Source organism: Homo sapiens, chromosome 6 (assembly GCF_000001405.40).
Source record: "Homo sapiens chromosome 6, GRCh38.p14 Primary Assembly".
Taxonomy (NCBI): domain Eukaryota; kingdom Metazoa; phylum Chordata; class Mammalia; order Primates; family Hominidae; genus Homo; species Homo sapiens.
Genome location: NC_000006.12, coordinates 18,360,594 through 18,371,837, shown reverse-complemented (window position 1 = coordinate 18,371,837; position 11,244 = coordinate 18,360,594). Strand labels below are relative to the sequence as shown.

General features: G+C 43.6%; 2 pseudogenes; both read left to right on the top strand.

The window, feature by feature from the left end:
• IMPDH1P9 (inosine monophosphate dehydrogenase 1 pseudogene 9) lies at positions 3,119-5,822 on the top strand (annotated as a pseudogene).
• On the top strand, positions 6,377-8,742 carry DDX18P3 (DEAD-box helicase 18 pseudogene 3; annotated as a pseudogene).

Genomic DNA, 11,244 nt, shown 5'->3' with positions numbered 1-11,244 from the left:
AACCAAAGGCATGCAATACTCCTGAGTTATGCCCAGCAATAACTTGGTTTAAGTTTTCATTTTCCAACCTGGCATCTCAATTCCTACTCAGTATTAGTAGCTCAGGCAAACCTGCTGCCCAACCATAAATCCAAAAGAAAACTATCTGTCTCATATATCAGGAAGGCCTCCGCATGATTCATTGAACCCTTGAGGTGAAAGAGATCAGAACTAATTCTTTTTTTTCTCAGCTCACTGCAACCTCTGCCTCTCGGGTTCAAGCGATTCTCCTGCCTCAGCCTCCTGAGAAGCTGGGATTACAGGTGTCTGCCACCATGCCTGGCTAATTTTTTGTAATTTTAGTAGAGACAGGGTTTCACCATGTTGGCCAGGCTGGTCTCAAACTCCTGACCTCAGCTGATCCACCCACCTTGGCCTCCCAAAGTGCTGGGATTACAGGCATGGGCCACCGTGCCTTGCCAGAACTATTTCAAATACAAGAAATCCTGAAATATTTAGTCCCACTGAGGCTTGACGATTCTGTACTCAGATCAGCCTTGGTGATACAGGACTCGTACAATGAACACACTTGAGAGCGGAAATCTTGTTTAAAATCACCAAGGAAATTCCAAACTTCTACAAAAGAATTAGCGGATATTTTAGCAAGGGTACACTTGGAGACAGGATGTTATTTCTTCTGAAAGTTCATAATGATAAAGTGGAAGCTTCCTCAGCTCTCTGGGAGTTTGAGAAAAAAAACATATTATATTACTGAATACCTATTGTATGCCAGGCATGGTACTTGGTACTAAGCATTCTACATACATTATTTCTTTTAATCTTTACAAAAGTAGTCATTATAAAAAAAAAAAAAAAAGCTTATCTACTTATAAGCTGATAAGTATCACATTTTTAAATGGTTAGTAACTGATACAACAGGAAAGCCTCACTGAGGCATAGTATTGGCTATAAAGTTGTCCCACAAAATGGGACATTCACTATTTAACCATTTAGGGTTAAATTGAGACTCCAGTATTTTCACCTCTATGTCAGGAAGAATTACCTTAAAATGTCTAGGGTTTCAGTCTGTGATTTCAGCAAACATTTGTTTCAAACACAAACTGTTATACCCACCCATTTACTTTTTTTTTTTTTCTTTATAGAGACAGGAATCTCATTATGTTACCTAGTTTGGTCTCAAACTCCTGGCCTCAAGTGATCCTCCTGCCTTGACCTCCCAAAAGTGCTGAGATTGCAGGTGTGAGCCATCATGCCCAGCCCATTTACTCTGAGGTAATTGTTACATAATGAATTAAATATTCAAGCTCTTCTAATCAAATGAGCTCATGAAAGCTAATCCCACACCTGACTTTTATTTATACTATTGACCTGAGCATCACAGAGGCAATTCTAACTACTAACCTAAATGATTTTTTAATTGGCACAAAGTTCAAATATACAACCTGCCTGTCATTTCAGAGTCATCTTCTTTTCCTCCATCTTCACTTTGCATTTTGGTTTCAGCCATACTAAATATTTCTAAGTACTCTAAATTTCACATTCACAGATTCCTTGGTTCTCCATTTACCAAGGCCATTCTTCCCTACCTTTTCCACCTGACCAATAGCTCTTCATCCCACCCACACACACACACACACAGAAAAACATGTCATTCAAGGTGTATCTTTTCTGGAATCTCCCTCCTACTCACTTTTCCCCACCATATAGTTAGACACCCTGTTCTAGGCTTCCTGTCTTCTGTAATGCTCTTACTTTCATTGCTCTATTCAACAAACACTTCTAAAGCTCCTATTATCTACAGGTTATTTATTAGGTACTGGGAATACAAAGATAAATAAAACATAAGACTTCAAGTGGTGTCAAAAAAGACAATTAGGCCTGTCAGCTGGTCAGAGTAGCACCGAGTTTCAGGAAGGCACTCAGCATTTTGAGCCCAGCCCTGTAAGACCTGGAGGATTTAGTGGGTAGAAATGTGGGAAGACAATGGAGAGAAGGAGGAAGAAGGGCCTACTGGGCAAAAGGAATTACATGAGCAAAGTCAGAGAGGTGGATAAGAGGTAAGCTTTGTTGATGGCAGAGAACAAGTTTCTCCATCCCAGGCTTTTAATTAAAAAATAAAAATAAAAAAATAAAAACTTTAAAACTCAGGAAGCTGAGGCAGGAGAATTGCTTTAGGCCAGGAGTTCAAGACCAGCTTGGGCAACATAGTGAGACCCCAGGTCTTAAAAAATATTTTTAAAAAAACTTTAAAACAACTTATTTATAAACTTTTTCAAGCTATAATAAAAGCAAAAGATAATCATGGAAAGTAAACCCTAATTTTATTCCTAATTGTTTGTTAATTTCTGGTGCCTTCTAAACCCAAAGAAGCTCATTAATGATATGTTAATAACACATAAATTTCTAATTGTATCAAAAGATAAAAGAAGTATTTTATACTCCTCTGATAAGCACTGTGAATAAAGATAAGCAGTTCAGTCATAACTAGTTTACCCTCACCTCCCTATGTAAAGGTGAGAACAAATCAAAACAAATAAGAGAAACTTTGGTGCAAGGCTCCCAAACCATTCTATCAGGATGAGGGGATCCTTGCCCAGTATCTGTCTTCCTTTTGTAGGACCTAATGCATACACAGGCTGAAGCTCTCATTCTCAGTGGTTATGCTGAAAATAACCAATCCAAAATCCTCTTTTGATGGAAGTAATCCACGTACTGAGACAAAACTTTTGAGAGTGAACAATGTTACTACATAGGGTTAATCCTTAAAAGTATTTTCCAATCTTTTCAACCTGCAATTTTTACACATACTTCTACAGGACCTTGGACAATATATATGTTGCAGCATACACCTGAGGCTATCAAAATGGAGAGAGATAAGAAAGCAGAAATCAGATACCATCATGCCCAAAAGAATGCTGTAAACTTGGATGGCCACCTGCCCAGTTCATGATTATATCAGTTCAACAGTTCAAATGGCTTATGGTGTTCCTTTGATATTACATCAGTTTATGTCTCTTACCAGAAAGTGTGACGGCAATAAATAACCCCAAGTGAGCAGGATGAGGCATTGTGATCCACAGCATGCCCTGAATTAGACTATATTTTATATTTAAAAAATGGCGGCAACAGTAACAACAGCAGCAGCAGCAGCGGCTGCGCGGGTGTTTACGTGGGGTCGCGGGGTCTCCCGCAGCATGGCGGACTATCTGAGCAACTGCTGCACCGGCTACGTGCCTGAGGACGGGCTCATCCCACAGCAGCTCTTCACCAGCGCTGACGGCCTCACCTACAACGACGTCCCGATTCTCCCAGGATTCATAGACTTCATAGCTGATGAGGTGGACCTGACCTCAGTCCTGACCCGGAAGATCACGCTGAAGACGCCGCTGACGCTGATCTCCTCCCCCATGGACACTGTGACAGAGGCCGACATGGCCATTGCGATGGCTCTGATGGGAGGTATTGGTTTCATTCACCACAACTGCACCCCAGAGTTCCAGGCCAAGAGGTGCAGAAGGTCAAGAAGTTTGAACAGGGGGGCTTCATCACAGACCTGGTGGTGCTGAGCCCCTCGCACACTGTGGTTATGTGCTGGAGGCCAAGATGCGGCATGGCTTCTCTGGCATTCCGATGACTGAGACGGACATCATGGGTAGCAAGCTGGTGGGCATCATCACCTCCGCGGACATCAACTTTCTTGCTGAGAAGGATCACAACACCCTCCTCAGTGAGGTGATGATGCCAAGGATCGAGCTGGTGGTGGCTCCAGCAGGCGTGATGTTGAAAGAGGCAAATGAGATCCTGCAGCGTAGCAAGAAAGGGAAGCTGCCTATCGTCAACGATCTCGATGAGCTGGTGGCCATTATCGCCTGCACCGACCTGAAGAAGAACCGAGACTACCCGCTGGCCTCCAAGGATTCCCACGAGCAGCTGCTGTGGGTGTCCTTCTACAGGACCTTGGACAATATATATGTTGCAGCATATACATATATATGCAGCTGTGGGCACTCATGAGGATGGCAAATACTGCCTGGACCTGCTCACCCAGGCGGGCGACGACTTCATAATCTTGGACTCATCCCAAGGGAACTCAAGTGTATCAGATCGCCATAGTGCATTACATCAAACAGAAGTACCCCAACCTCCAGGTGATTGGGGGGAACATAGTGACAGCAGCCCAGGGAAAGAACCTGATTGATGCTGGTGTGGACGGGCTGCGCGTGGGGATGGGCTGCAGCTCCATCTGCATCACCCAGGAAGTGATGGCCTGCGGTCGGCCCCAGGGCACTGCTGTGTACAAGGTGGCCAAGTATGCCCAACGCTTTGGTGTGCCCATCATAGGACCGTGGAGCATGTGGTCAAGGCCCTGGAACTTGGAGCCTCCACAGTGATGATGGGCTGCCTGCTGGCTGCCATCACGGAGGCCCCCTGCAAGTACTTCTCAGACGGGGTGCGGCTTAAGAAGTACTGGGGAGCTGGGCGCGGTGGCTCATGCCTATAATCCCAGCACTTTGGGAGGCTGAGGCAGGCAGATCACCTGAGGTCAGGAGTTCGAGACGAGCCTCAATATGGAGAAACCCCATCTCTACTAAAAATACAAAATTAGCTGGGCATGGTGGTGCATGCCTGTAATCTCAACTACTCTGGAGGCTGAGGCAGGAGAATTGCTTGAACCTGGGGGGCAGAAGTTGCGGTGAGCTGAGATTGTGCCATTGCACTCCAGCCTGGGCAACAAGAACAAAACTCTGTCTCAAAAAAAAAAAAAAACAAAACAAAACAAAAAAAGAAGCACCAGGGCATGGGCTCACTGGATGCCATGGAGAAGAGCAGCAGCAGCCAGAAACAATACTTCAGCGAGGGGGATAAGGTGAAGATCACGCAGGGTGTCTCGTGTTCCATCCAGTACAAAGGTTCCATTTAGAAGTTCATGCCCTACCTCATAGCGGGCATCCAGCATGGCTGCCAGGATATCGGGGCCACAGACTGTCTGTCCTTTGGTCCATGATGTACTCAGGAGGGCTCAAGTTTGAGAAGCAGACCGTGTTGGCCCAGATCGAGGGTGGTGTCCATGGCCTGTGCTCTCACGAGAAGCGGCTGTACTGAGGACAGTGGTGGAGGCCGAGATGGTGGACGGGGCGCACCCCAGTGTCCCCCCTTCAGGCACAGCCTCCCTCCATAACTGAGTGGTCCACAGATTTGCACTACAGGTTCCCCAGCTCCTTTCCAGGGAGAGAGGAGGGGAGGTCCTGAGGGGTCTGCAGCCCCTCCCTGGGTATCCTCTGCTGAGTCAGGACTGCTCCCTGGGCCAGGCTGCCCTGGGAGCACCCCCACACCATCCCCCTAGGCTCTCAGGCCCTGCACCTGCCTCAGGTCTTTCTTGCTGCAGCCTGCTCCAGCCTGGCCCCCACCCCAGGAGCAGGTGGCCCCTCCTGGCTTCTCCTGTAGGGCACCTCCCTGCCCTCAGCCCCCCAGGAAATGGTGCTCTCCTGGCCCTGCCTCTGGTCCTTCCCAGGCTGCTGCCCCCTCAGCCATGTGGCAGTTCTGAGCTCCAGACCTAGGCCAGGGGGAGGTCTCTGACCCCTTCCCTGGCACTGGGCTACCCTTGGGTCCTGTTCCTCAGGCCACTCCCCTGTCCCAGGCCCTGGGGAGGAGGCTATCCTGGTCATGGCCCCCTGCCCATCATTCCTGACTCACCATCATCCGCAGGTGTACCATTCCTGCCCTCTCCTCAGCTGCAGTTGAAGGCTTTAACTCTGCACTCTTTGGGATCACAGTTATGTCACTGTGTATTAAATAATCGGAATAAATCAAGCAGATCTCAAAAAAAAAAATGAAATCACAGGTCAACATTATTAACTCTCTCCAGCAAGGATTGAATAAAAGGCAGTGAGCAAATATACTTAGTTTAGAATAAGTAAATATTTAAGTGGATTAATTACTCCTTGCTCATTATGAACTATTTTGTTATAGAGGAAGGATAGTTCTAATCTCTGAAAATTAAACAACATTATATTAGTTCATTCTCATGCTGCTAATAAAGACATACCCAAGAGTGGGTAATTTATAAAGGAAAGAGGTTTAATGGACTCACAGTTCCGCAGAGCTGGGGAGGCCTCACAATCATGGCAGAAGGCAAAGGAGAAGCAAAGGCACATCTTACATGGTGGCAGACAAGAGAGCTTGGGCAGGGGAACTCCCATTTATAAAATCATCAGGTCTTGTGAGACTTATTCACTACCATGAGAACACTATGGGGGAAACCACCCCATGATTCAATTATCTCTACCTTGCCCTGCCCTTGACACATGGGATTATTACAATTCAAGGTGAGATTTGGGTGGGGGATACAGCCAAACCATATCAAAAATCTATGTTGACTGTGTGGCGCCGTGGTCTAGGCACTTCTTGGACAGCATGTCTCACCTGCGGATGAAACTCCTGTGCAAGAAGATACAAAAGCGGAACCTCAAATTGCGGCAGCAGAACCTAAAGTTGCAGGGGGCCTCAAATCTGACCCTATCAGAAACTCAAAATGGAAATGTGTCTGAAGAAACAATGGGAGGTGGAAAGGTTAAAAAATCAAAACATTCTATGAACATGGGCTTATCAGGAGCTCCAAATGGAGACATGTCTCAAGAAGCAGTGGAAAATATAAAAGTTAAAAAATCTCCCCAGAAATCCACCATATTAATCAATGGAGAAGCAGCAATGCAGTCTCCCAATTCAGAATCAAAAAAGAAAAAGAAGAAGAAAAAGAGAAAAATGCTGAACGATGTTGTGCCTGATACAAAAAAAGCAAAAACTGAAAACAAAGGGGAATCTGAAGAAGAAAGTGCAGAGACTCCTAAAGAAACAGAAAATAATGTGGAGAAGCCAGATAATGATGAAGATGATAGTGAGGTGCCCAGCCTGCCCCTGGGACTGACAGGAGCTTTTGAGGATACTTCATTTGTTTCTCTACATAATCTTGTCAATGAAAACACTCTGAAGGCAATAAAAGAAATGGGTTTTACAAACATGACTGAAATTCAGCACAAAAGTATCAGACCACTTCTGGAAGGCAGGGACTTCTGGCAGCTGCAAAAACAGGCAGTGGTAAAACCCTGGCTTTTCTCATCCCTGCAGTTGAACTCATTGTTAAGTTAAAGTTCATGCCCAGGAATGGAACGGGAGTCATTCTCTCCTACTTGAGAACTAGCCATGCAAACTTTTGGTGTTCTTACGGAGCTAAAGACTTGCCAGGTACATACCTATGGGTTGATAATGGGTGGCAGTAACAGATCTGCTGAAGCACAGAAACTTGCTAATGGGATCAACATCATTGTGGCCACACCACGCTGTCTGCTGGACCATATGCAGAATACCCCAGGGTTTATGTATAAAAACCTGCAGTGTCTGGTTATTGATGAAGCTGATCATATCTTGGATGTTGGGTTTGAAGAGGAATTAAAGCAAGTTATTAAACTTTTGCCAACATGTAGACAGACTATGCTCTTTTCTGCCACCCAAACTCAAAAAGTTGAAGGCCTGGCAAGGATTTCTCTGAAAAAGGAGCCATTGTATTTTGGTGTTGATGATGATAAAGCTAATGCAACAGTGAATGGTCTTGAGCAGGGATATGTTGTTTGTCCTTCCAAAAAGAGATTCCTTCTGCTCTTTACATTCCTTAAGAAGAAACAAAAGAAGAAGCTTATGGCCTTCTTTTCATCTTGTATGTCCGTGAAATACCCCTATGAGTTGCTGAACTACATTGATTTGCCCTACGTGGCCATTCATGGAAAGCAAAAGCAAAATAAGTGTACAACCACATTCTTCCAGTTCTGCAACCCAGATTCAGGAACACTATTGTGTACGGATGTGGCAACAAGAGGACTGGACATTCCTGAAGTTGACTGGATTGTTCAGTATGACCCTCCGGATGACCCTAAGGAATATATTCATTGTGTGGGCAGAACAGCCAGAGGCCTAAATGGGAGAGGGCATGCCCTGCTCATTTTGTGCCCAGAATAATTGGGTTTTCTTCGCTACTTGAAACAATCCAAGGTTCCATTGAGTTTATTAGAATTTTTCTGGTCTAAAATTTCTGACATTAAGTCCCAGCTTGAGAAATTGATTGAAAAGAACTACTTTCTTCGTAAGTCAGCCCAGAAACCATATAAGCCGTACATACAAGCCTATGATTACCATTCTCTGAAACAGATCTTTAATGTTAATAACTTAAATTTGCCTCAAGTTGCTCTGTCATTTGGTTTCAAGGTGACTCCCTTTGTTGATCTGAACATCAACTGCAATGAAGCCAAGCAGAAAAAGCAAGGGGGTGGTGGTGGATTTGGCTACCAGAAAATCAAGAAAATTGAAAAGTCCAAAATCTTTAAATACATTAGCAAGATATCATCCGACAGCAGGCAGTTCTCTCACTGAAGACATGCCTTTCTTTCATCTTGAATAACTTTATCCTAAAATTAATTTTTTCCCCTTGATTTAACAGGATTTTTGTAGCCTTTAGAATTTGGACTTATCTAACAAGAGTATGAATTGAGTTGGGTTCCAAGCATTGAGCACTGTTACTTCTATCAAGCGTCTTTTTCATTTTGGTGATATAAAACAGGCTTTAATTTTCTTGGATGCCCAAGGGAAGAGCAAGGTCTTTCTTGTGATTATATAATATTTTAATTTTAAATATCCCTCCCTCATACATATAAATGTATGTTACTGATTTAATATAATTCTTTTTGTACCTTTAAAAAAATCTATGTTAATACAGCACTATTATCTCATCTGAATACTTTCACAAATGTCATTTCATTTAATACTTACAACAACCCTTCAGTTGAGGTTTTATCACTCCCATTTTACAGATGGGGAAACAGCATTGAAAGACGAACTGACTTTCCCAAGGTCACACAGTTACTGGCACAATGTACACTAGAAGCCAATGACCAAGTCAGGTGAGTTTCAGCTAGAGCAAGCTTGTACAGCCTGCAGCCCTGTGACCCAAGATGGTTTTGAATGCAGCCTAACACAAATTTGTAAACTTTCTTAAAACATTATACAATTTTTTTTGCAATTTTTTTTAGCTCATTGGCTGTCATTAATGTTAGTGTATTTTATGTGTGGCCCAAGAAAATTCTTCTTCTTCCAATGTGGCCCAGGGAAGCCAAAAGATTGGACACCCCTGAACTAGAGCACCCTTGCTTCCCAAATAAAACCATAGGTAAAATCAAGCTCCCCTTTTTTCTCATGTCAGGATCTTTTTTGGAAAGAGGACAAAAACAAGTTAATGCAAAACTTTTAGTTCTATTTTTAAACATCTGCTTGGGGCAAAAGGCCAGGTGTTCTGCCAAAACAAATTAGATAATATTCTTATACTGGCAGACTCTCAATCTTGACCAAGAAGAAAAATATCCAACATAATATATATTGAGAAAAGAGTCCAGCAACTCTGAGTACACTGAATTCTCAGCCTTGGCCTTCTGCAAGAAGGAAGAGGCAAGTTTCCCGTATGAGAGAACAGTCAAGGAGTATGACTCAAGGACTATTTCAGTACAAGATCTTATTTCAACCCTGTTGTCCATCTGTTTGCTGAGAATGTAAAGTTGTCTGGTTCCAAGTCAGAAAAGAGGATGAAATCATCTACTAAAGCCACATAAACAGGAGCCCCACAAAGGCACGCTGTGATTACACTACATAGCCATGCAGTGAGAAGCCAGTGCACACCTTCTATTATCTGGCTGGATCTGTGCAGTCATGGTGCCTTATCCCAGGGAGGCAAGTTCAGGGACCCAGCTAAACAAATGATGAATGCTGTAAAATTTATTCTCTATTTACTGCAGGTTAATGGAGAAGAAAGATAGGCACAGCGCAGTGGCTCACACCTGTAATCCCAGCACTTTGGGAGGCCAAGGTGGCAGAATCACTTGAGCCCAGAAGTTCAAGACCAACCTGGCCAATATAGGGAGACCTCGTTTTTACAAATAATCAAAATATTAGCTGGGTGTGGAGACATGCATCTGTTGTTCCAGCTACCTGGGAGGCTGAAGCCGGAGGATCACTTGAGCCTGAGAGGTTGAGGCTGCAGTAAGCCATGATCACACCACTGCACTCCAGCCTGGGTGACAGAGTGAGACCCTGTCTCAAAACAAACAAACAAATAAGTAAGATAAAAAAAAATAATGGGGGGGGGGGGGCGGGAAGAGCAACTCAAAGAATTGCATACAAAAAATAGTTAATATTTTAAATGTAGACATTGACTACATGCAATATCTATTTATCAACAATTGCAGCCAGCCATTCTTTCCACCCTATTCCTCTTCACCAGCCTCCTCTTTTTTTGAGCATCACTAAGGTCATAAAACTCACTACTTTCTACTCAGTCCTATCCTTCTTTTTGTACCATCTACTGCCACTACATCTTTCAATACCTGGAGCCCACATCCATCATCCACTTACATACCTCTATGTTGTCCCCCTACCTCCTCTACAGTAAGAGGAAAACAGAGGTTCCAGGGAGTACCAAACTTTAGAGAAGCTTAGGGGAATGAGTATCTAGAAAGCTAATGAATTCAGGCTATTGACCAGAAGAGTTCAGACTCTAATTTTAAGGGTAAGGTAAATTTCGAGGTCATAATTCAAGGTCAAATCAGCTATATTGTAGGCCAAATTATTATTTGCAGTTTGGCTAGAAACCTAAAGCAGCAAGTACAGTATTGTATCCAAAATAAAATAAGTTCCAAGTTCTAAACAACTAGAACGCTAAACATTTAGGAACCCTAAACATTCGTAAGTTTGGGACCACCTACAAAAAATGTAACAATAATTTTTTCCTCTTGAGTTTCCTTTTCTTTACAGCTGTAGAAGAAAACAGAAAGTATACATGTATGTAACTGGGTGTTGAGATTTGACCCCCTTCCATTGGAGCTACTTCAATTGAGAAAAGAGTTGGTGACCACCATTTGTTCCTAAGAGCCCTCGTGAATTTATTCTTCTCAGTGTGCCCAATGAGAAAAAGTGGACCAACTTCTGGATAAGTAGTGACAACTGGGAAAAGGACTCTCAACATTATCATAGAGAATAAGCACAACAAGTTTGGGGAGGGGTTTATATTGGCAAAGGGAGTCAGTTGGAGCTGTAGCCCAAGTGAAAAGTTGAGCTCCAAAGAAAGTGGGTGATTTCTTTTGAGCAGATACTCTAACTGTATTCCTATATGAGACAGGTGGGGTGGGGTGGGGGAAAATCAGGCTATAA